A 26519-nucleotide genomic window follows, 5' to 3' on the forward strand; every position below is an offset into this window, starting at 1 on the left:
GTTTCACTTAAGATAATGGCCCCCAGTCGCAAGGATGTTGAGTTCTGCATGGCTGGGGAGGCCTCAGGAAACTTAACAGTTATGGTGGAAGGGGAAGCAGGTACATCTTACGTGGCGGCAGAAGAGAGAGAGCTATTTTGCTTTTTTAAATAGGTGTGATTCAAAGTTCTTAAAGTATACCCATTGCCTGTGTCCAACACCTGACAGATAATCAAGTGGAATACAGTAGCATAGTTCTTCTTTTATTTATAAAATATTTTATAACAAAACTAGTAAAAATAGATGCATCTTGAATATGCATCATAATGAAACAGACACACGTGAACTCACTCCCACCTGAGAAACTGAGAATGTGTCTATGTGCTCCTTCCCTGCCTCTCCCTACCCTCTCGTATGCTACCGTCCCACTCCCTAGAGGTCATCAATGTCCTGACTTTTTTTTTTTTCTCATGTCTTGGCTTTTCTGTACAGTATTTTACCGTATATGTATGTTTCTCTAAACAACATTAGTTTTACTTGGTTTGAACTTTACAAAAGTGTCGTTAGACTTCCTTCTTTCACTGAACATCACGTTTCTGAAATTCAGCCCTTGATGCTACCTGAGAGTTCGAGTTCATTGATTTTTACTGCCACGTGGTTTCCCATTCTATTACTTTTCCACACGCTACTTCCTTTACTACATTTCAAAGGCGATTATGTCTCTAAAGCTCTTAGCACAGTCCCTGGCATGGACAGCACTTAACAAAATTTTGTTAAACTGTTGAGTGACAACGAGCCCAGACTGAACGTAACAGCTGACATTTGCTTCTGGCTGGATTCTCTGCCCTTAAAATTCCGTGACGAGTCAGAAGAAACCTGGTGGCCTCTCCAGGCACCTAAGACTACACTTCCCAGAAAGCATCGCGGTACTCCGCCACTGACTTTTAGTTTCCTTTCTCCGTCGGCAAACTTCCGGGTTGGGTGGGCGGGGCCAAAAAACTTATCCAATGAGTACCTTTGTAGGCTGAGAGGAAGGGATAATTGCCCAATGAGCGACTAGGCAGAGGAGCCAATAGGCGGAGAGGCTGCTGGGGCAGCCGGCCTCCGGGGTGTCACTGAGCCGCGCCAGCTGAGCCAGGTGGAGCCCTACTTTCCTCTCCTGCTTTCTGCCTGTGACTAGCGCCGTCCCCTACCGCCCGTCGACCCCACTTCCATGTCTGGCGGACACAGCTCCCCGGAACCTCCACGCCCATGGCCACTAGACAGAGGGAGTCTTCCTTCACCTCCTGCTTTTCCACCTGGAATTGCGACGCGGGCGACGAGGGCGTGGGCTGCACCTGCGAAGATGCTTCCTTGTGCAAGAAGCGCCTGTCGGGCGCGGGATTCGGGGCTGGCATCTGGGACGCGGGCTGAGGTGGGAGGCGGGCCTGCATCTGAAGAATACGCTCGGAGGCTGGCAGGTTGCTGCCCCCGCCTCGCACGACCCTCGCTTCCCACCTGTGAAATGCACAGAACAGGGCTTCATTTATTTAACGAATCGTTTCTGAGCTCCTGCTGTGAGCCAGGCTTGGAGCAAGCCTGGGTACTGTGGATGGGAGCAGGCCCCTGAACCAGGCGGACGGGGTCTTGGCGTTCTCGGAGCTAAACGCTGCTAGAAAGACAAACATGATGCACCTAACTACTGTCTCCGTAGATTATGAGGATGAGAGGTGGAGGTTCTCTCTCTTTTAGGTATGATCCCCGTTGTGCACCTGAAACTCAGGCGATGACTTTCAGTGAAGGAAATGACCTGTCTAGGGCCACATAATACCTGTTTGAAAAGCCAGTACCACACTAAGTCTCCACTATTAAGGGTGTGATGGTGAGGGTGGGGTCGTAGGGAGCACAGGTATGTGTCAGAAAGAGAAAACATGAGGCTTGAGTGTCCTCCATTTATTCACTCATTCATTCTACAAAAATGGAGAGCTTACTTTGTGCCAGGGCCTTATTTGGGCTGGTTGGTGGGGATTCAGTAATGGGAATACACCAAGAACAAGACAGACGTGCTGCCAGACATACTGGAACTCACGGTTTAGTTGGGAAAGACTGACAGGAAATAATTATCCATGAGATACATAATTAAAATTTGGTGTTGTGCACTGAGAAATACCGCGGTGTCATTAGAGTTTGTAATTTAGTGATATTTAAGCTGAGAGCAAAAGGCTTAAAAAACAGGGGTGTAGGCCGGGCGCGGTGGCTCATGCCTGTAGTCCCGGCACTTTAGAAGGCCGAGGTGGGCCGATCACCTGAGGTCAGGAGTTTGGGACCAGCCTGGTCAACATGGTGAAACCTCGTCTCTAATAAAAATACAAAAATCAGCCGAGCATAGTTGTGGGCGCCTGTAATCTCAGCTACTCAGAAGGCTGAGGCAGGAGAATCGCTTGAACCCGGGAGGCGGAGGTTGCGGTGAGCCAAGACCGCGCCATTGCACTCCAGCCTGAGCAACAAGAGCAAAACTCTGTGTCAAAACAACAACAACAACAACAATAATAATAATAGTAATGTGGGAGAGTGTTCAGACAACACAAGAGAGGAGTACGAACTGTTAGAGGATCTCAAAGAATGCCTTCTAGGCGAGAGACGTAGGCTTGCCACGTAGGGATTATAGAGTGGGGAAAACCAAAGTTTTGAATTAAGCCTTGCACTTTCTGTAGGTTCCTGGAGACTAAGTGTTGTCATTCAGAGCATGGATTCTGGAACCAAACTCTGTCAAACTTAGTGCCACTCACTGGCTGTGTAAAATAGGGGAAGTTACAGGCCGGGCATGGTGGCTCACGCCTGTAATCGCAGCACTTTGGGAGGCCGAGGCGGGCGGATCACGAGGTCAGGAGATCGAGACCATTCTGGCTAACACGGTGAAACCCTGTCTCTACTAAAAATACAAAAAAAAAAAAAAAATTTAGCCGGGCGTGGTGGCGGGCGCCTGTAGTCCCAGCTACTCGGGAGGCTGAGGTAGGAAAATGGCTTGAACCCGGGAGGCGGAGCTTGCAGTGAGCCGAGATCGCGCCACTGCACTCCAGCCTGGAAGACAGAGAGAGACTCCGTCACAAAAAAAAAAAAAAAAAAAAAAAAAATAGGGGAAGTTACTAAACCATTCTGTGCCTCAGTTTTCTGATCTGTAAAATGAGGATGATGATACTACGTACTTCATAAGTGGTTGTGAAGATTAAATGATATTTAATGTTAGTATAGCACTACAGCAGTATTTGGCATGTAGTTGTTGGCAGTGGTTGATTAAATAGATAAATACATAAGCATTAAAGGCAGTCCCTGGTGAAATTTGTGACCTTAAATGGATTACGATCAGCTTTATCTCATCTCTAGCTTTCATTTGTTATTTGGCCACACTATAGCACTGTTTATTTTTTATCAATTAATTAATTTATTTTTTGAGACAGGGTTTAGCTCTTTTAGCCAGGCTGGAATGCAGTAGCGTGATCATGACTCACTGCAGCCTCAACCTCCTGGACTCAAGTGATCCTTCAGCGTTAGCCCTCCAAGTAGCTGGGACTACTGGCTCATGCCACCACGCCTGGCTAATTTTTCAATTTTTTTGTTGAGACGGAGCCTCACTTTGTTGCCCAGGTTGGTCTCAAACTCCTGGGCCCAAGCTATCCTCCTGTGTCAGCCTCCCAAAGTGCTGGGACTACAGGCATGAGCTACCGCATCTGGCCTGTACCACTGATTAATTAGAAATAATTTTTTTCCTGGCCACGTGCAGTGGCACATACCTGTAATCCCAGCACTTTGGGAGGCCGAGACAGGTGGATTACTTGAAGCCAGGAGTTTGAGACCAGCCTAGCCAACATGGTAAAATGCTGTCTGTACTAAAAATACAAAAATTAGCCATGCATGGTGGTGCTCGCCTGTGATCCCAGCTATTTGGGAGGCTGAGACTTGAGAATCGCTTGTGCCCTGGAGACGGAGATTGCAGTGAATCGAGATCGTGCCACTGCACTCCAGCCGGGGGGATAGAGTGAGACCCTGTCTCCAAAATATATATATAATAATAATAATGATAATAATTTTTCTCATATTAACTGCTATTTGCTAAGATAATCTGAAGTGACATCAAAATTGTCAGAAATAAAATTCTGTTTAGTAGCACATTAGGGTTAGCATATTTGTTGGTAATATTTTTTGCAAACTTGCTTACATAACAATAGTAAGTTATAAAATAGTTCAAACAGAAAGAAAGGTACAGAGAAATAGAGCATGCCTTTCATTGACTTTCTGTTGGATAGTTTTGATAATTTCAGGTTTTCTCTGTATCAGTTTCTGATGCCCTCTGGATCTACAAACATCTAAACATAATAGGGTAAGGTTTGGTTTGGAGCTGCAGAGAATATAAAGCAGCCCTTCCTAACCTGAGCAGCATAGCCTGGGAGACCTAAGAAAAATTCAGATGTTCAGGGCCTATTGTAGCCCGATGAATCAGAATCTTCTGGGTCAAGTCCAGGATAATAAAGACCACAGGTGTTCACCATCTTGGTGCATTTCATAACAGCTTTTTTTTTTTTTTTTTTTTTGAGACACAGTCTTGCTTTGCCACCCAGGCTGGTGTGCAGTCGTGCAATCTCAGCTCATTGCAACCTCTGCCTCCCGGGTTCAAGCAATTCCTCTGCCTCAGCCTCCCGAGTAGGTGGGATTACAGGCGCCTGCCACCACGCCTGGCTAATTTTTGTGTTTTTAGTAGAGAAGGGGTTTCACCATATTGGGCAGGCTGGTTGGGAACTCCTGACCTCAAGTGATCCATCTGCCTTGGCCTCCCAAAGTGCTGGGATTACAGGCATGAGCCACCGAGTCTGGCTTTTTTTTTTTTTTTTTTGCACTACATTTTGCCTCGCCTGAAAAAAACATGCAAAGAGATTGTGAGAAGTTAATGGTTTAAGACATTCTGCAGGACTCTGTGTCTTTCAGGTTCTGTAATGTATTGAACCTTTAGATCTTGTCCAAAAGTCATGATGTTAAATAAGGATTGCTTGCACGAATCATGGGCAAATTACTCTTTCTGCCTCAGTTTCTTAATCTTTAAAATGGGGATTATTAGGGTAACCTGCTTTTCGGGTGTGAGGGTTAAATGAGATAATTGATGCAGAGCAGTTAGCACAGGATCTGGCCCAAAGCGAAGCCCCCAGTAAATGATTGCATGTTTTCATTTTCCTCCAGGCCGAATATTATTTGTTGAAGTTGCTGCATATGCAGTAAATATGAGTCAGGCTGGTTCCTGCTGTCCTGAGTGAGTTACAACCATAAAATCCCTAAGATAACATTTTAAAAGCCAGTCAGCCTCCGAGGGCACTGATATTTCTGTTTAGTTTGCTTCCCCCTTTGGTACAGAGTCCTTCTGGGGATAAGGAGGATGTTACCTGTCTCAGAGGGTTGCTGCCAAGGTGAAATGTCAGTGCTTCCAGCAGTGCTTGGCATATATAGGAGGTGTTCAGAATTGGTAGTTACTGTCATCACCACCCCCATTGTCATCAAACTATTATCATCAACATCATCATCATCATCATGGACTTATGCGATGAGGTCGGGTTTTTCTGATTAGATACATTAGGTTTATATCCATGTGACTCAGCAGATACAATTGAGCACTTCCCGTGGTAGCCGACTTCCCCACCCTCCTCTCCTCTCCTCTCCTTATGATGTCCATCATGCTGTGCCCCAGAGTTTTTTCTCCCCACTTTTGTTTACCTGTGACCCAACCATCCCACTACCCCCTCACTGTGTCCTCTGCAATTACCACTCCATAATCAGTAGCCGCCTCTGTTTCCTCTGCCTCTCGTTAGCCATTCCCTCCCTCCCTTTGCCTTCACCCTGACCCTTCCCCAGGGATATCCCGTTCTTGAAGCCCTCTCCTGTGGCTCCTCCTTCTCATCCCTTGTGTATCTCAGGATCAGGGGTTTGAGCTTTGTGTCCTCCTGTGTGTTTCCCCCCATCTCATTCCATGGAGATCCTTCCTGCCCAGCGGGAGCCCTCCTGGTTGCTGTTGTTCGCCTTCTCCTGGTCATTCCTCTCATTCATGGAAGACTGGGGTGCCTGCTCCAGAGTGTCTTCTACCGCAATTCATGACATCACCCTAGGTGACCTCAGTGTCCACATGGAGCCTGTGCATGGGGCACTCACTTTCTTGAAGGCCTGGTCTGCAGCAATAACCTCTCCCCATCTGATTCTGTCACCCCTTTTTTCCTTGACACCCTATGTTTTTATCCTGATGCTGCACTGCCTCACAGATGAGAGTGCAACACTCTCCAACCCTGACCCCTTTTTCCAAGTTGCTTGACCAGTTCTTTCCCATTTCCCATGCTGTGCCCATTTCTCCTTAGCATCTTGTTGGTTTTCTGTATCCTTTAGATACTCCCTCTCCTATCACTTCTCAATTGATCTTAGAGCTCATCCTCCAACCCTCAGTAATTCTCTTGGCAGTGCCTTTATATCTCCCTTACCTTTTGGTCCTGGTAGAGCCAGAACCCTGGCTAAACCACACTGTCCATTTTTGCCTTGAATATAGGTGGTAGAAATCACACAGCAAGGTGGCTTGGTGCCACTGTGAATTCATGTCACCCAATCGCACCTGTGCCCTTAACAGAACCTGGTCATTGTAGTATGTTTCTCATTCCACTCACTCTCCCTTTCTACAGGATACTTAATTCAGACATTTTCCACTGTCTTCAAACTTCTGACTTACCCCACCCCTTCTTCATTCTCAAGATAATGTCAGCTATTGCTCAACATACAAAATGGGAGCCCTCAGATAGAAACTCCATGAACCTCCCCCAAGAAACTTAACCATCCATTTTTTACTGTTACAGTTGTGAATGTCCTCCAGTAAAGACCACATGAAACACTTTGTAGTTAAGCAAGTTTGGTTTATTACTTGTTGCAAGGAGGGAAGACTCACACCATGAGGAGCCTATCAGTAAGAGGATGTTAGACCTTTAGGATCTGGGCTTTGGCTGGGTGATTTGGGGGAGGGTCCAGGGATTTGCTCTGGATTGAGTGCTGATAGGACGTAAAAAAATTCTATCACCCAGTAGCTGTATCTTTTCTAGAAGGAGGTTTGCCTGGAGTAGGGCTAAAGCTGTAATGTGTAAAGAAGCAACGTCACTGATCAGCTGGGAGAAAGGGATGTCTGGTATTCCGTGGTGGCACGGTGACCTTGTTTTTGTCTGTGCTTACACAGAATGATGATGTGGTCTTGTTTAGTCTCTCGTCATCACTGTTGCAGGCCCTTGTGTGGGTGTTCTGTGTGACTTTGTGTGTTTGTGTGTGTGTGTTGGTGGGGAGGGTTTAGAGTGGAGGCAAGTTTACTAAGAAAGTAAAGGAATAGGACGGGTGTGGTGGCTCATGTCTGTAATCCCAGTACTTTGGGAGGCCGACGTGAGCGGATCCCAAGGTCAAGAGATCAAGACCATCCTGGCCAACATGGTGAAACCCCGTCTCTACTAAAAATACAAAAATTAGCTGGGCGTGGTGACGCGTGCCTGTAGTCCCAGCTACGCAGGGGGCTAAGGAAAGAGAATTGCTTGAACCCAGGAGATGGAGGTTGCAGTGAGCTGAGATCATGCCACTGCACTTCAGCCTGGTGACAGAGCAAGACTCTGTCTAAAGAAAAAAAAAGAAAAGGAATAAAAGGGTGGCTACTCCATAGGCAGAGCAGCTCTGCAAGATTATATCCAACAGGAAAACAACACGGCCTCACTGTGGGTGCCAAAGCGAGGGCTTGCCAGGCAGAAGACAACAGCATGAGCAGAGGCATGGGGCCTGAAGCGGAACTGTGTGTTAGGCGAACCTGACACAGGGTGGGGAGTGGGTACCAGGAGAGAGTTCTGGACAGGTTGTCACACAGTGAACCGTGGAAGGTCACAAGGAGTACAGGTTTTATCCTGAGGGATTTTAAGTGGGGAACTGACATGATCTGGATTTGTATTCGAAAAATCCCCAGCAGCTGTGTGGAGAAGTGTTGGTGACAAAGGGGAAGCCTCCTTTTCTTTCCCACACCCACAGCCCCTGCACCTGCTGTCTTTGCTCATCTGATCTGCAACACATCCATATTCCACCTGTGGCCAGGGTGATTTTTCAGAATCACAAATCTTATCTTGTCACTTACTAAAACCTTTCAGTTCCCTATCACCTACCAGTTAAAAATCTGTACTTTGTTACATGACATACATACTGTGCCTTACATGATCTGGTCCCTCAAGCCTGGTATCTGGCTACCAACTTGAAATCTCCACTTGGATGTCTCGGAATTATCTCACATTTACTATTTGCAAAACTATGCTTACGATCACTTCCCCATGTTCTACTGCCCTGTCCAAGCCCCGACTTAGTGAATGGTTCTATAGTTCATTTAGTTCACAAGTTTAAAAGGTAGGTGTCATCTTGGAACTCCTTTTTTTTTTTTTTTTGAGACAGGGCCTTGCTGTGTCACCCAGGCTGGAGTGCAGTGGTACAATCATAGCAGCCTCGATCCTGGGCTCAAGCGGTCCTCCCACCTCAACTTCCACAGGTGTGTGCCACCTCACCTGGCTAATTTTTGTATTTTTTTCTAGAGGCAGAGTTTTGCCGTGTTGCACAGACTGGTCTTGAACTCATGGACTGAAATGATCCACCTGCCTCAGCCTCTCAGAGTGCTGGGATTACAGGCATGAGCCACTGTGCCTGCCCAGGAACTGCCCTTTTAATATCTGCCTTGTGCAATCAGTTACCCAGACTTCTTATTTTATTATTTTTATTTTTTTATTTTTTTGAGTCAGAGTCTTGCTTTGTCGCCAAGGCTGGAGTGCAGTGGCGTGATCTCCGCTCACTGCAATCTCTGTCTCCCAGGTTCAAGTGATTCTCGAACCTCAGCCTCCCAAGTAGCTGGGATTAAAGGCACGTGCCACCATGCCCAGCTAATTTTTGTATTTTTGGTAGAGACGGGGTTTCACCATGTTGGCCAGGCTGAACTGAAGAGTGAGGTGGCCTGACTTGGTTTTAACAGCATCACTTCAGCCTCTGTTAGGAGCAGACTGCAGGGGTAAGGACGGAGGCAGAATCAGTTAGTTGGCTGTGGGGGTGTCCCCTGTGAGACAGGCTGGTGCTTGGATCAGGATAGTGGTGATGGAGGTGCTGAGAATATGTCAGATTCTGGGTGCATTTTGAAGGTAGAGCTGATAGAATGTTCTGGCAGAGTGGATATGGGGCGAGACTGAGGCGGCCAAGATGACTACAAGGTTTTTGGCTTAGCTGACACGTGGCTCACTCCGAGAGTCCTTTCTGACACCCATAGACAAGACCTAGCTTCTGTTGAATGTTCTCATAACACCTGTGAGTCTCCTTGGTGGTCGTCGGCCCAGTTGTGATTTAGAAAGTGCCTAGTGGGCTGGGAGTGGTGGCTCACGCCTATAATCCCAGTACATTGGGAGGCTGAGGTGGGCAGATCACCTGAGGTCGGGAGTTCAAGACCAGCCTGACCAACATGGAGAAACCCCATCTCTACTAAAGATACAAAATTAGCCGGGCATGGTGGCAGGCGCCTGTAATCCCAGCTACGCGGGAGGCTGAGGCGGGAGAATCGCTTGCACCTGGAAGGTGGAGGTGGTTGTGGTTGCGGTGAGCCGAGATCCCGCCATTGCACTCCAGCATGAGCAACAAGAGCAAAATTCCATCACAATAAATAAATAGGAAAGTGCCTAGTGTTCATCTCTGCCACTGGAATAGACACAATACCGAGCACAGACCATGCCTACCTTTATGCCACATGCACAAATAAATATTTGTCAGCTGGTCACAGTGACAGGGACTGAGCACACATGTTCAAGATTGTATTTCCTGATGAGGTCTTAAAATTCTGGTTTTCTGTTTCATTGGTTCTGAATGGTCTATGTGTTCTAGAGAGCAGACCAGGGCTTATAAGGCTGAAATTTCATTGTGAAAATTATGGTGCTTAATCTGATTTCTCAACTGAAAGGAGAAATATTCCCCCTTGACATAGAAGCAGGTCACAGGGTCACCTCTGGGGAAAACCAGCTTTTCCCCGAGGGCTTAGCCCAGGGCCTTTCCGGCACCCAGATCGCATCTTCTTAGCTGTGCCCCAGAGAATGAGGTCGAGATTGTGATCTGAAATATTTTCAAGGCAGGTGCTGCTTTTCATGCCCAAAGAAGGCATGCCACTTCAGAGCTAGAACATTCTGTTGCACATAAATTAGCTGTAAAACTTGCCCATCAATAAAGTCAGATAAATCATGGGGTTGTGCTTGTGTTTTTCTTTTTAAGGATCAAATTAAAGTTTGGGAAACATTCGCTAAAGATAATGTTATTAGATCTGGAATGTCAATCTCACGTCATTTTTTCCCTTAAATGCTTAATTTTTTTAATGACAAAAATAACTTTTCCCTCCACTTAATAATTTAAACATATTTCCTATAGATCTGCCTTATTCTTTTTAGTGGCTACAGGGTGTTCTGCAGCATAGTAGTATTAATACTTTATTTGGCCATTCTTCTATTGTTCATCATTTATGTGGCTCTGGTTTTGCTGTTGAGAGTGCAAGGCTGGGCACGATGGCTCATGCCTGTAATCCCAGCACATTGGGAGGTCAAGGTGGGAGGACTGCTTGAGTCCAGAAGTTGGAGACCAGGCAGGGCAACACAGTAAGACTTCATGTCTCAATAAAAAATAGACTGGATGCTGTGGCTCACGCCTGTAATCCTAGCACTTTGGGAGGCCAAGGTAGGAAGATTGCTTGAGCTCAGGAGTTTGAGACTAACCTGGGCAACATAGTGAGAACCTTTCTCTGCCAAAAAGAAAAAATTAGGCATGGTGATGAGCACCTGTGGTCCCAGCTGCATGGGGGACTGAGGCAGGAGGATCGCTTGAGCCTAGGAGGTCAAGGCAGCAATGAGCTATGAGCTATAATTGCACCACTGCACTCTAGCCTGTGTAACAGTGAGACCCTGTCTCAAAAAAAAAAAAAAAATAGTGCTGGGATCAGCATTTTTGCATGTGCGTGAGTTTTGCTATGAAATAGATTTTAGGGAAGAAGTTTCTGCAAAGTAGTCCTTGAAAGAGGTTGTGTCAGTTTCCATTCCCACCCACAGTGAATGTGATGCCAGTATCGAATATTCTCAATCTCTTTAATTGTTTACCACCTAGCAGGTGGAAAATAATCTCCCTTTATCCTATAATCACTCTTGAGGCTGAACATTTTTTAAAAAAACTTTTAGGGCAGGGTGTAGTGGCTCATGCCTGTAATCCAAGCACTTTGGGAAGCCGAGGCAGGTGGATAACTTGACGTTAGGAGTTTGAGACCAGCCTGGCCAACGTGGTGAAACTCTGTCTCTACTAAAAATACAAAAATTAGCCAGGTGTGGTGGCAGGCGCCTGTAATCCTGGCTACTTGGGAGGCTGAGGCAGGAGAATCGCTTGAACCCAGGAGGCAGAGGTTGCACTGAGCCAAGATTGTGCCACTGCACTCCAGCCTGGGCGACAGAGCGAGACTCTGTCTTAAAAAAAAAAAAATGCAAAAAACTTTTAGGTTCAGGGGTACATGCACAGCTTTGTTGAATAGGTAAATTCGGGTCATGGGGTTTGTTGTATGATTTTGTCACACAGGTACTAAGCCTAGTACCCATTAGTTATTTTTTCTGATCCTCTCCCTCATCCCACCCTCCAGCAGACCCCAGAGTGTGTTGTTCCCCTCTGTGTGTCCATGTGTTCTCATCATTTAGCTCCCACTTATAAGTGAGAACATGCAGTATTTGTTTTTCTGTTCTTGCATTAGTTTGCTAAGGATAATGGCCTCCAGCTCCATCCATGTCCCTGCAAAGGACATGATCTTGTTCTTTTTTATGGCTGCATAGTATTCTATGGTGTATATGTACCACATTGTCTTTATCTAGTCTGTCACTGATTAGCATTTAGGTTGATTTCATGATTTTACATGGTGAATAGTGCTGCAATGAACACACACATGCATGCGTCTTAATGGTAGAATGATTTATGTTTTGGGGAGTATATACCCACTAATGGGATTTCTAGATTGAATGGTATTTCTGTCTTTAGGAATTTGAGTAATCGCCACACACTGCTTTCGACAAGGTTGAACTAATTTACACTCCCACCAACGGTGTGTATAAGTGTTCCCTTTTCTCCACAACCTCACCAAAGGCTGACCATTTTCAGTATGCTCACTGTCATCGATTTTTTTTTTTTTTTTTTGAGACAGGGTCTTGTTCTGTTGCCCAGGCTAGAGTGCAGTGACATGATCACCGCTCACTGCAGCCTCAACTTCCTAGGCCCAAGTGATCATTTTGTCTCAGCCTCCTGAGTAGCTGGGACTACAGGCACAGGCCCCCATGCCTGGCTTATTTTTAAATTTTTTGTAGAGGCAGGGTATCACCATTTTGCCTAGGTGGGTCTCAAACTCTTGAGCTCAGATGATCCTCCCTTCTCAGCCTCCCCAGGTGCTGTGATTACAGGCATGAGCCACCACACCAGCCTGATATTTTTTATGTGAACCTTCTCTTCATATCATTTCCTGTTGGGCTGTATGTCTTTTTCTTGTTTGGTTATTTATATTTTTATTACCGATTTGTAGGAAGTTTTTATGTTGGCATAGTATCCTTGGCTAACTATTTGTTGTAGTATTTTTTTGTCAAGATGATGCTTGTCTGTTGGTTTAACTTGTACAGTACACTTCATAAGTCAGAAACTATGAATCTGTTTTTTGAGTTGAGGTTTCACTGTGTTGTCCAGACTGGTTCTCCCCTGGACTCAAGTGATCCTCCTGCCTCCACCTCCTGAGTAGCTGGGATACAGGTACTTGCCACCATACCCGGCTCCAGAAATTGTAAATCTTTGATGCAAAATCTGACAATTTTTACTTTTGTTTTTGTTTTGTTTTTTTGATACAGGGTCTCCCTCTGTCTCCTAAGCTGGAGTGCAGTGGCACAATCTCAACTCAGTGCAGCCTGGATCTCCCAGGCTCAAGTGATCCTCCCGCCTCAGACTCCCGAGTAGCTAGGACTATAGGCACACGCCATCATGCCTGGCTAATTTTTATTTTTTGTAGAGATGGGGTCTTGCCTTGTTTCCCAGGCTTTTCTTGAACTCCTGGGCTCCAGCGATCCTCTTGCCTCGGCCTCCCAAGGTGCTGGGATTACAGGCGTGAACCAGCCTCTCTTGTTATCTTTTTCTAGTTTCCTAACCCTACTTTGCAGCCATTTTCTGATTTTGTCTACTATAGATTAGATTTGCCTATTTTTGAATGTCATATAAATGGAATCACACAAATGTATTCCTCTGTGTGTCTTTTATTCAACATGTTCTTCGAGATTCATCTGTATTGTGTGTGTTGTCAAAGATAAAGCTGGACACTGAAGTGGTAAGAACCAATTTTCATCAGTAATAACGATTGCAGTTTAGCCAAATTCAATCCAGTGTGAACTGAGCTTAACTTCAATTTGCATAGACAGGACAGGGTGTTTTACAAGGAGAATGAGAAAGGGGCTCAGTAGAGTCAGGGAAGTGAAAAATCACAAAAAGTGGGGAGGGAGGGTTGGTCCTGTGAAACCCATCTGGGTTTGGTAACTGGCCATTAAGGAAGTTAGGCTTCTGCCCTCCCACAGAGAGTGGGAGGCAGGCCCTGTCTTCAGTAGTGTTGGCTGAAACACAGTAAATTCTATAGGCAGCTTTGAGTTTTCTCAGACAGGCAGCTTACTGGGGGCTGGGTCATCCAAAGGATGCAACCTTGAACTATTGGAAACCATGTTTTTAGGCTGGGCGCCGTGGCTCACGCCTGTAATCCCAGCACTTTGGGAGACCAAGGCGGGTGGATTGCTTGAGGTCAGGAGTTCGAGACCAGCCTGGCCAATGTGGCAAAACCCCATCTCTACTAAAAATACAAAACTTAGCCAGATGTAGTGGCACACGCCTGTAGTTCCAGCTACTCAGGAGGCTGAGGCAGGAGAATCGCTTAAACTTGGGAGGTGGAGGTTGTAGTGGGCTGAGATCATACTGCTGCACTCCAGCCTGGGCAATAGAGCAAGACTCTGTCTCAAAACAAAAACAAAAACAAAAAACAAACAAACAAAAAAGGCCAGGTGCGGTGGCTCCCAGCACTTTGGGAGGCCAAGGTGGGAGGATGGATCACTGGAGCCCAGGAGTTCGAGACAAGCCTGGGTGACATAGTAATACCTCCCTCTCTACAAAATAAATAATTATTTTTATATTTTTGAGATGGAGTCTCACTGGTTCACCCAGGCTGGAGTACAGTGGCACGATCTCGGCTCACCGCAACCTCTTCCTCCCGGGTTCAAGTGATTCTCATGCCTCAGCCTCCTGAGTATCTGAGATTACAGGTGTGAGCCACCACACCTGTAATTTGTGGCTAATTCTTGTATTTTTAGTAGAGATGGGGTTTCATCATGTTCGCCAGGCTGGTCTCGATCTCCTTACCTCAAGTAATCGCCTGCTTCGGCCTCCCAAAGTACTGGAATTACAGGCGTGAGCCATGGCACCCAGCCAACAATTTGTTTAAATAACAACAAAAAGAAACTATGTTAGTGTTTGCTCAAGTCTTTTTTTTTTTTTTTTTTTGAGACAGAGTCTCACTCTGTCACCCAGGCTAGAGTGCAGTGGTGTGATCTCGGCTCACTGCAACCTCTGCCTCCTGGGTTCATGTGATTCTCCTGCCTCAGCCTCCCAAGTAGCTGGGATTACAGGCTTGTGCCACCAAACCCGGCTAATTTTCATATTTTTAATAGAGACAGGGTTTTGCAATGTTAGCCAGGCTGGTTTCAAACTCCTGACCTCAGGTGATCAGCCTGCCTTGGCCTCCCAAAGTGCTGGGATTACAGGTGTGAGCCACCGTGTCCAGCCTGATTTTTGTTTATTTATTGGCTTTTTTGATTTTGTTTTTTTGTTTTTGTTTTTGTTTTTGTTTTTGTTTTGTTTTTTTGTGACTTGCTCTGTCACCCAGGCTGGAGTGCAGTGATGTGATGTGATCACAGCTCACTGCAGTGCTGACCTCCCCAAACCCAAGTGATCCTCCTGCCTCAGCCTCCCTAGTAGCTGGGACTACAGGCATGCACCACCACGTTCTGCTAATTTTTAAACTTTTTGTAGAGTTGGGGCCTGTCTCTGTTGCCTAGGCCAGTCTAGAACTCCTGGGCTCAAGTGACACTCCTGCCTCGGTCTCTCAAAGTGCTGGGATTACAGGCACGGGCCACCATGCCCAACCTTGCTCAAGTCTTTATAGGCCAAGGTTAAGGCCTAGTTGAGAAGAGGGGTCAGAGGAGCTGGCTAGAGTTTGGTCAAGGAGACAGTCTTTGCCATTGGAAAGTCATTTGCTCCTTTTTGAGTTGTGTGAATATAGGATTTGTTCATCCATTCACCTTTTGATGAACATTTGGGTTGTGTCCAGTTTTGGACCAGTGTAAATTGGCTGCAATGAACATTCTTAATTTATTTCTCTTAGATAAATGTTTAGGAGTGGAAGTGCTTAGTCATAGGGTGGGGACATATGTAACTACCACACTAATATCCAAAGTGATTTATCAGTTGACACTTCCCACCAGCTACATAGCAGAACTTGCAGTTTCTCCATATCCTTGTTAACGTTCTGTATTGTCCGTGGGTGTGAAATAGCATCTCATGGTTTTAAGTCATATTTCCCTGGCGACTAATAAGCGCTTTTTCATGTACTTATTGGCCATTCCCATGTCATCTTTTGTGAACTGTCTGTTTTGCACATTTTTGTTGGTGATACTGTTGTTTTATATTTGTTGGAGTGTATTATATATTCTGGATAGGAATTTTTTTTTTTTTTGAGATGGAGTCCCACTCTGTCACCCAGGCTGGAGTGCAGTGGTGCAATCTCGGCTCACTACAACCTCAGCCTCCCAGGCTCAAGCAATTCTCCTGCCTCAGCCTCCCAAGTAGTTGGGACTATAGGCATGCACCATCACACTCGGCTAATTTTTCTATTTTTAGTAGAGACGGGGTTTCACTATGTTGGCCAGGCTGGTCTTGAACTCCTGACCTCAGGCGATCCTCCCACCTCGGCCTCCCAAAGTGCTGGGATTACAGGCATGAGCCACTGCGCCCAGCCTGGAATATTTTTATCAGATATATATATGTTGTAAATACACACACACACACATATATACATGAAACATATATATATATGAAAATGTAAAATACCATTTGCAATAGCATCAGGCCAGGCACGGTGGCTCATACCTGTAATCCCAGCACTTTGGGAGGCCAAGGTGGGAGGATCCCTTGAGCCCAGGACTTTGAGCAACATAGGCAACATAGTGAGACCTTGTCTCTACAAGAAAGTGAACCAAATTAGCTGGGTATGGTGGCGAGTACCTGTAGTCACAGCTACTTGGGAGGCTGAGGTGAGAGGATAGCTTGAGACTGGGAGGGTTGAAGCTGCAGTGATCTGTGATCATACCACTGCACTCCAGCCTGGGTGACAGAGAGATCCTGTCCCAAAAAAAGAAAAAAGGAAAAACAGCATAAAAACAGTAGCATCAAAAATCATTAGAATAACTCTAATGAAAGACATGAAAACACCTTTACCAGAAAAGTATTGTGAGAGAATACTTTTACTCTCTCACTAAAATATTGGTGAGAGAAATTAATAAATACTTAAATAAGGAAGAGGTTACTTTGTTCATATATTAGAAGACCTGATATTAAGATGTCTGTTCTCCCCAAATTGATCTATGGAGTCAATGCAATCCCAGTTAAAATCCTATTTGTTTTTTTTTTTGAAGAAACTAACAAGTTGATTCTAAAATTTATATGGAAATGCAAAATATCTAGAATAGCAAAAAAAAAAAAAAAAGAGCAAAGTTGGAGAACTTAAACTGCTAATTTTTTATACCACTTAATTTTAAGACTTACTATAAAGCTACACTAATCAAAACATTGGTCTTGACATCACAATAGACAAATATATCAGTGAAACTGAGTCCAGAAATAGACCTGCATACGTACTGTCAGTTGATTTTTGCCCAGAGCGAGTAAGTCAATTTTCTGGTGGAAGGAAGGAAAGTCATTTAATTTCTTTTTTTTTTTTTTAAGAGAGGGTCTTCCTCTGTCGCCCAAGATGGAATGCAGTGGTATGATCATGGCTCACTGCAGCCCCAGCCTCCTGAGCTCAAGTGATCCTCCCACCTCAGCCTCCCAAGTAGCTGGGAATGCAGGTGTGTACTTCCATGTCCAGCTAATGTTTTGTTGTTTTTTGTTTGTAGAGACAGGGTCTCACTGTGTTGCCCAGGTTGGTCTCGAACTCCTGGGCTCAAGCAGTACTCACACCTCAGCCTCCCAAAGTATTGGGATTGTAGGTGTGAGCCACTGCCCAGCCAGGAAATTATTTTTAATGAATAATTCTAGATCAACTGGATATTCACATGAGGAAAGAAATTAACCTTCACCCCATCTCATGCCATACACACAAATTAGTTGGTAATTGTTCATAAACCTAAACATAAAAGCTAGAATCGTAAATCTTACACATGAAAACATGGGAGAATATCTTTGCAACCATGGGGTGGGCAGATATTTTGTGAGTAGAACACAAAATGCACTTACTACAAAGGAAAAATAAATACATTAAGAAAATGTACAGGCAAACCATATAATATTTGCAATACGTGGTAAGGGTTTTATTCTTTTCCCAAAGTACTTTGGTATTACTCAGGTCTGTGGCATCTTGCATGATATTCTGTATTTACTGGCTTTTTGTTGAGTTAGATACAGAACATTGATCCAAGAGAATTTTCTGATTGGGTTTCCCCATTTCTTTTACCTTCGTGTGAATGTTGCTCCCTTTGCCATTTATGCTTTGCCCAATATTCAGTGACTGCTTACAACAGAGACAGATTTTAGATCATATTATTCTTTGTAAAGTAAAGAGACATTAGATGAAAGCAAAAGGCAACACGGGCAGTCTCCTCTGGAAGGGAATTGCAGCCTATATGAGTCTTCCTGGTTATTGAGGATTGAGGCTCAGCTTTTTAGGTGACTCAGCATTTAAGTCCTGGCACATTAACTATATACTAGCCACAGACCTGAAAGGAGGAAGGGAGACGAAGCCTAGCTCTGTTTCAGTACAGCGTCTTTTGCCCTTAAGACTGCTTCCTGGCCAGGCGTGGTGACTCATGCCTGTAATCCCAGCACTTTGAGAGGCTGAGGCGGGCGGATCACTTGAGGTCGGGAGTTCGTGACCAGCCTGGGCAACACGGTGAAACCCCGTCTTTACTAAAAATACAAAAATTAGCCGGGCATGGTGGTGGGTGCCTGTAATCCCAGCTACTATTTAAGTCCTGGCACATTAGCTGTATACTAGCAACAGCCCTGAAAGGAGGAAGGGAGACGAAGCCTAGCTCTGTTTCAGTACAGCGTCTTTTGCCCTTAAGACTTTGCTTCCTGGCCAGGCGTGGTGACTCATGCCTGTAATCCCAGCACTTTGGGAGGCTGAGGCGGGCGGATCACTTGAGGCCAGGAGTTTGTGACCAGCCTGGGCAACACGGTGAAAACCCGTCTCTACTAAAAGTACAAAAATTAGCCGGGCATGGTGGTGGGTGCCTGTAATCCCAGCTACTCGGGAGGCTGAGGCACGAGCATCAGTTGAACCCCGGAGATGGAGGTTGCAGTGAGCCAAGATCATGCCACTGCACTCCAGCCTGGGCGACAGAATGAGAGTCTGTCTCAAAAAAAAAAAAAAAAAAAAAAGATTTTGCTTCCTGCCTTCCGTTTATAAACCAATAATAAAACCAACAGGAAATAGAAACTAAAAATGAAACTAAAAGGTATAAAAGAACAATAGAATTAAAGTTGGAGGTAGTGCCATATCTTACAGACCACAAGCAGCATGCAGTTGAAATTCTAAATCTGAGATTTTAATGCTGAACATAGTTGAATTTTGCAATCTCAAATACATGTACAGTGATGCCTTCGGGTAACAGCTGCCCGCATATATGGTGGTGGCGGTCCCACGGGAATTTTTCAGCTCTATTATCTTATCACCTAGTGACGTAGCTGTCCTAATGTCTTAGCACGGTACATCACTCATGAGCTTATGTGGATGCTGGTGTAAACAAACCTACCGTGCAGCCTGTCCTATAAAAGTGTAACACATACAATTATGTACAATACATGAAACTTGATCATGATAAAAAACTGTGTTAACGGTTTATGTATTTACTATGCTGTACTTTTTATTGTTATTTTAGAATAACAACTTGCTGACTCACCCAGAGCAACTACTTATTAACAAAAAGTTAACTGTAAAAGCCCTCAGGCAGGTCCTTCAGGAAATATTCCAGAAGAAGAAATCATTATCTTGGGAGATGTCAGCTCCATTCATGTTATTGCCCCTGGAGACCTTCCAGGGGAACAAGATGTAGAGGTGGTGGAGAGTGATATTGATGGTGCTGACTCTGTGTAGGCCTAGGATAATGTATGTGATTGTGTCTTAGTTTTTTTTTTCTTTTTTTTTTCTTTTTTTGAGACAGAGTCTGGAGTGTAGTGGCACGATCTTAGTTCACTGCAACCTCCACCTTCCAGGTTCAAGCGATTCTTCTGCCTCAGCCTCCTGAGTAGCTGGGATTACAGGCATGTGCCACCATGCCTGGCTAATTTTTTGTGTTTTTAGAAGAGACGGGGTTTCACCATGTTGTCCAGGAAGGTCTCGAACTCCTGACCTTGTGATCTGCCCACCTCAGCCTCCCAAAGTCCTGAGATTACAGGCGTGAGCCACTGTGCCTGGCTAGCATACACTGCTTTTAAAGTTTACACAGTGTAATGTCCTGCGTCTTCACACTCACTCACCCCTCACTCACTGACTCACCCAGGGCAACTTCCAGCCCTGTAAACTCCATTCAGTGCAGGTGTCCTATAGAGGTGGATCATTTTTAGCCTTTTATACTGTATTTGTAGTGTACTTTTTCTATGTTTAGCTGTGTTTAGATACACAAATACTTAACATTGTGTTACAGTTGCCTTCATTATTCAATACAGTAATGTGCTGTAGAGATTTGTAGCCCAGGAGCAATAGGCTATACCATGTAGCCTGGGTGTGTAGTGGGCTGTACCATCTAGGTTTCCGTAAGTGCTCTCTGTGCTGTCTGTACAACGAAATCACCTAAGAATGCATTTCTCAGAATGCATCCCCATTGTTAAGCAACACATGACTTTATGCGCACAAACAGATACACACACGTACACATACGCATATCATTTAAACAACTCAAGTGTTATGAGGGATAAAACAAATGTTCAGGGGTAGGAACATCTAAATCCAGGTGGGTATGTTTCAAAACCCACATTATGGCTCACGTCTCTAATCCCAGCACTTTGGGAAGCGGCAGTGGATGGATTCAACACCAGCCTGGGCAACAAGATGAAACCCCATCTCTACAAAAAATACAAAAATTAGCTGGGTGTGGTGGTGTGTGCCTGTAGTCCCAGCTACTTGGGAGGCTGAGGTGGGAGAGACACCTGAGCCCAGGGAGGTTGAGGGTGCAGTGAGCTGTGATCACACCACTGCACTCTAGCCTGGGCAACACAGTGAGATCCTGTCTCAAAAAAAAAAAAAAAAAAGAAAAGAAAAGAAAAGAAAAGAAAAAAAAGGAAGGAAAACATACATTAAACCTTCAGTTACCTAGTTAATAGAATTAAGTTCCGCAGCTGAGGAAACTGCCTCAACCTAGATCTATAAAGCTGAGTCTGCCTTGTAGGGTCCTACGAGGTTTGTGTGTGTTCATATTTGTCAAGCATTTGGAATAATGCCTGGCACATAGTAAGCACACGGTGTCACTTAAAGAAGTAAATGAGGCTCCAGCTTGATCCTTATAAGCTGGGTGAATGGGGAGGCCCCGTCTCATTCCCTGAAGCCTCAGATGAGGAAATGGCTATTGGAGGGGATTTCACACCTTTCAGAAGGACCCATTGTTCCAATTGAGCTCTTGGAGATAGGACTCAGTCAGTAAATGCTTCTTGAATGAGTAGGTGGTTGGACCAGATCAGTGTTTCCCGTGGGAGGAATGTGAGATGGTTTTGGGTGGTACACAGATGTTTTACATGTTAATAGATATTTATTACAGCATTGTGCTAGCAGAAAATATTGGGCAGCACATTTGACCTGAGTGTTTTTTAAAAAGTGAGTGATTTAAAAACACAGTAACTTGAACAGGCAGCATGTGAATGTCATGGAAACTGAAAGCATTTGTGGATTGAAAGAAGAGTGGGAAAATCTCTGAGGTCTTTCCACATCTGAGACGTTTGGTTCTTTGAATCCGGGCTTTAAATATGAAATCAGGATATAAAAATAGAAGTGATATTCTCTGGGTTTTGTGAGCAGAGATGTGTAATGGAAATTGACAGGCAGAACTGGATGTGCAGCCTCGTGGAAGGTGCAGAGATAACAGTGTATTAACACTTTGGTGTCTGCTGTGGGCAGCCTTGCGTGTGTATACATCATTTAACAAAATTGGGAACATCCTATACATACAAACAATAATCGGGTTGGTTCACCTGATACTGTAACTCTGTGTTCAGTTTTAGATGGGATCATTTGGTCATTGTATATGTGTGTGTTTCAGGCTTTTTGTACCTGTCGTCGCAGTGCCTTGCAGTATGACTGTGCCAGTTTAAGCTTCGGGCAGCTCAAGCACCCTCTTCCTCGTCTTGGCCAATGCCAAGTTAGATTAAACAATACTTTTGTTGACAATTTGATAGGAGAAATATAACTCTCTGTTTTTACTTTCATTTCGGGTTTTTTACATTATTGATAAGGCTGAGCTTTTGGTGTGTTCATTGATCTGTTGTGTTTCTTTTGTGAACTGCCCCCAAGTTTGCCTTTTGTCTTAATTTTTTCCTCTGGGATTTTAGGGTTTTTTATTTATTTGTTTTTAAGAGTCCTTCATAATGTAAAGATGTTAGTATTTTGTGACATGTTAGTTATTTCTCCTAGTTTATTTTAGAGACCGTCTCGCTCTGTCACCCAGGCTGGGGTGCAGTGGCGCAATCCTAGCTCATTATAATCTTGAGCTCCTGGGCTCAAACAATCCTCCCACCTCAGCCTGCCAAGTAGATATGACTACAGGCATGCACTACCGTGCCTGGCTAATATTTATTTATTTATTTATTTATTTATTTATTTATTTATTTATTATTTTTTGGTAGCAATAGAGTCTTGCTATGTTGCCCTAGTTGGTCTGAAACTCCTAGGCTCAAGCAGTCCTCCTGCCTCAGTCTCCCAAAGTGCTGGGATTACAGGCATGAGCCACCATGCCTAGCCTGTGTTTCCTAGTTTAATACTTGCTTTTCATGTTTGCTTGTGATATTCACACTTACTGTATTTCTTGTTGTAAAGGTAAATATTTGATTCATTCTGTGACACACCTGCTCTTCCATTTAATTTGTTTAAGGCTAATGAACCATTTATCTTCTTATAAACTTTATTTATTTATTTATTCATTCATTTATTTATTATTTTTTAGATGGAGTCTCACTCCCGTTGCGCAGGCTGGAGTGCAGTGGCACGATCTCGGCTCTCTGCAACCTCCACCTCCCAGGTTCAAGCGATTCTCCTTCCTCAGCCTCCCGAGTAGCTGGGATTACAGGTGTGCGCCCAGCTAATTTTTGTATTTTTAGTAGAGATGGGTTTTTGCCATGTTGGCCAGGCTGGTCTCGAACTCCTGATCTCAGGTGATCCACCTGTCTCAGCCTCCCAAAGTGCTAGGATTACAAGCAAGGACCACCATTCCCAGCCTTAAACTTTATTTCTATTTTTTATTTTTTTGAAATGGGGGTTTCACTTTGTTGCCCAGGCTGGACCTACATTCCTGGGCTCAAGCAATCTTCCTGCCTCAGCCTATAGAGTAGCTGAGACTACAGGCACGTGCCACCATGTCTGGCCCATTTAACTTCTTTGAAATCAGATGTGATTGGTTCTCTGTGTCCTGCAGTCACTGTCAGTTGTCATTACCTGTGCATGCTTACGTGGTTGTTATTCCTGGTGGCATGGCTGGGCAGCTGTGACTGCAGCCCCTGGATGCTTTAGTCCTCATACCACTTAAGGACCATTTGAAGAAGGAGCACAAATCCTGATTGTTGTTCAAAAACTGTCTATTCATTACTTCTGATGAGATGAAGAAAGAGCCAGCATTAAAACTTACAGAGCGAGGGCCAGGGCTCAGAAGACAATCTCAGAGAGGACAGTAAAGATCTCTCTCTCTCTTTTTTAAAAATTTTTTTGAGACGGAGTCTTGCTCTGTCACCCAGGCTGGAGTGTAGTGGTGCGATCTCGGCTCACTGCAACCTCCGCCTCCAGGGTTCAAGCGATTCTCCTGCCTCAGCCTCCTGAGTAACTGGGACTACAGGCATGCGCCACCACGCCCGGCTAATTTTTGTATATTTAGTAGAGACAAAGTTTCACCATGTTGGCCAGGATGGTCTCGATCTCTTGACCTTGTGATCTGCCCACCTCGGCCTCCCAAAGTGTTGGGATTACAGGCATGAGCCACTGTGCCTGGCCTAAAGATCTCTTAAGAAATGCCATATCACCAAAGCCCTTGAAAGCACAATAGTCCATATTGTATGGAAACTCAGACATCCTGAAACTGAAGACAACCAGCCTTTCCCATTGATCTTTTCCTTTTCATATGTGTGCAAGAGAGAGAAGTGATACCAGTCTGTTTTAATAAGTCCAAAAGAACTTTTCCAATAAACTCACAGTTACAATTATTTGGCAGTGTTTTTTCTTTCTTGGGAGTACATCTTAGGATTGATGCCTTCTTATTTGATGAAATACGTCATATGGTTAGTGTAGAAAATTTAGGAAGGATAAACCCAGAAATCAGAGAGATAATCATTTTCAGTATTTAGGTATCAATCCACTAGTAATTCTCTGTGTAATATAGATACATATGTATGTATTTACGGGCACATGTGGTACATATATTTTTGGCCTTACCTCTTTCTCTTAACATTATATCTGGAATGTTTTGCCATGTCTGATTTTCTAGTTTACTTTTTAAATGATGGGTTAGTATTTCAGTGAATGGATACACTGTAATTTGTCCAGTTACTCTCCAGCTGATGTCCTGTAAATCCTGAAACTTGCTGCTTGTCTCCCTTCAGAACTCCCATCAGCAGCGCCCGACAGCACTCTCCTCCTCACTGCCCAACACTGGGTGGCAAATCTTTTCATCTTGGCCACTCTGATAGGCTGGACAGTGAGATCCTTCTTCCTAGGGCGCATGGAAACCTGTTGCAGTCACCTGGGTTTGCGGAGTGGGAGGAGGAAAGTGTTAGGGGCACTAGAGGTGGGAGACGGTGGGAGTTGCTGGCTGGGTGTGTTTGCATTATGGACCCGTGCATCTCACCACTCTCTACCACTGTGCACCACTGTGACCATGGACAGGGTGCTCCTGAGGTCAGTCCCAGATGCCCACCAGGCGCTGCGTCCTGAGCCTGCCTCTCCCTCTGGCCTCCTCTCCAGTTTCTTACTGTCCTCCGGCCTCCCTGCCTCCTTTCTGTACTGGAGGCTCAGGTGTGTTCCCTGAGTCTTTCTGCCTGCCCTTCCTCCTGTCTAGAATGCCTTTTGGACACCTGACTCTCCCATTCTCCAGGGCTCGCCACGGCCATCCCGTTCTGAGAGAGGCCTCCCCCTATCATCTTCATCCTCTCTACGAGTCACTGCCTTCATTCCTCATCATCTTGTAATTATCTGCCTCTCCTTTCTCTCCTTGTTTACCACTGTACCCCCAGTGCCTAGCACTTGGCAGACACCCACATGTTCCTTGACTACACTAGTCGTATTGAATAGTGTAAGGAATCCGGAGGTGAGAGAATAGAAGAACCTGCTCTTTATTATGCAAGAGAGTAGTTTTGTAAGTCTACCAAGTTAGGGCTTCCAGAGGGAAGCATTTTGATCAGCTTTTCAACAGAGTTGCTTAGCAGTGGGGTGAGTGCCTTCCTCAGGGGAGTGGTCACGTAGTGATATTGTTGCAATGGTTCTTGCACTGGATGCTGGGGTTGGCAAGATTAGGCTTCTTCCAACCCTTAGAACTGTGGGGTGTGTTCTCATCTGTGGGTTTCAACTGCAGATAAAACTGTTAACACTAGATGGCACTAGAGGATTCATTTGAAATCTGTTTAAGGCCAGGCCGGTGGCTCAACCCTGTAATCCCAGCACTTTGGGAGGCCGAGGCGGGTGGATCACCTGAGGTCAGGGGTTCGAGACCAGCCTGGCCAACCTGATGAAACCCCCGTCTCTACTAAAAATACAAAATTAGCGGGACCTGGTGGCTCATACCTGTAATCTCGGCTACTTGGGAGGCTAAGGCAGGAGAATCGCTTGAAACCGGGAGGTGGAGGTTGCAGTGAGCCGAGATTGTGCCATTGCACTCCAGCCTGGGCAACAAGAGCGAAACTCTGCCTCAAAAAAAAAAAAAAAAAAAAAAAAGGAATCTGTTTATGAAACTGCCACCCACAGTGAAAAAATAACCTTTATCATTGCACTTATACCCTCAACACACACTTGAAACAAAAGTTGTCTAAGTGCAATGGCTCACACCTGTAATCCCAGCATCTTGGGAGGCCAAGATGGGAGAAATCACTTGAGGTCAGCAGTTCGAGACCAGCTATAGCAAAACTTCATGTCTACAAAAAAATTAAAAATTAGAATTAGAAACAAAAGGTTCACAAATGTCTTAACACTATGTGTAATGCATCTTATTTTTTATTTTATTCTATTCCATTTCTTCTTTCTTTCTTTTTTATTTGAGCTGGAGTCTCATTCTGTGGCCCAGGCTGGAGTGCAGTGGTGCAATTTTGGCTCACTGCAACCTCCGCCTCCCGGGTTCAAGCAATTCTTGTGCCTCAGCCTCCTGAGTAGCTGGGATTACAGACGCGGACCACCATGCCCAGCTAATTTTTGTATTTTTAGTAGTTTCACCATATTGGCCAGGCTGGTCTTGTACTGCTGGCTTCAAGTGATCCGCTTGCCCCGGCCTCCCAAAGTGCTGAGATTCCAGGCATGAACCACCATCCCAGCCTCACATTAAAAAAAAAAAAAAAAAAAGCAGGTTTGCAAACTAATTGATCTTATGATATTAATTAGTCACCACTTACTGTTTGAAAAGCACTATTTTAGATAACTGAGTAAGTGTATGGTTATAAAACTGAGTATGTTTTCCTTGGACAGTCTGGGCTTGTATAGCAAATTGTGCACATTAGTGAATATTTCACGTTTCTGTGAATTGCTGCATGGAACACCTGAACATGTGTTTTGGGTGTCTATGGATGACAGATTGGGAGATGTGTTTGTACAGAATTCAGCACCTATTGTAGTCAAGGCAGAAGTAAGCCTTGGCAGTAGATATAAAGAAAAGGTATATTATCTGCTTCTAGGAGCTCAGAGACATCACACACACATTCCCTACATTTTACCTTAGCAGGGAACAAGGAAATGGGGGTATTACTCAGGG

General features: G+C 44.8%; 1 pseudogene across 1 annotated transcript, besides 3 other annotated features; it reads left to right on the forward strand.

Moving 5' to 3' along the window:
- Window positions 817-996: an enhancer, noted in NCBI's record as "active region_10602". NCBI's record gives its function as "activates an Ori minimal core promoter by ATAC-STARR-seq in GM12878 lymphoblastoid cells {active_cell/tissue: GM12878}" and the evidence as "EXISTENCE:reporter gene assay evidence [ECO:0000049][PMID:35858748]".
- LCMT1P1 (LCMT1 pseudogene 1) lies at window positions 1091-2127 on the forward strand (annotated as a pseudogene). The gene has a single exon (NR_038379.1). The product of NR_038379.1 is annotated as an LCMT1 pseudogene 1 (transcript).
- Window positions 18878-19172: a silencer, noted in NCBI's record as "tiled region #2109; HepG2 Repressive DNase matched - State 3:PromF, and K562 Repressive non-DNase unmatched - State 2:TssF". NCBI's record gives its function as "represses a minimal TATA promoter and a strong SV40 promoter by Sharpr-MPRA in HepG2 and K562 cells {active_cell/tissue: HepG2 | K562}" and the evidence as "EXISTENCE:reporter gene assay evidence [ECO:0000049][PMID:27701403]".
- Window positions 25063-25192: a silencer, noted in NCBI's record as "silent region_7293". NCBI's record gives its function as "represses an Ori minimal core promoter by ATAC-STARR-seq in GM12878 lymphoblastoid cells {active_cell/tissue: GM12878}" and the evidence as "EXISTENCE:reporter gene assay evidence [ECO:0000049][PMID:35858748]".

The sequence above is a fragment of the Homo sapiens genome, chromosome 16, assembly GCF_000001405.40.
Source record: "Homo sapiens chromosome 16, GRCh38.p14 Primary Assembly".
NCBI classification, from domain to species: Eukaryota; Metazoa; Chordata; class Mammalia; order Primates; family Hominidae; genus Homo; species Homo sapiens.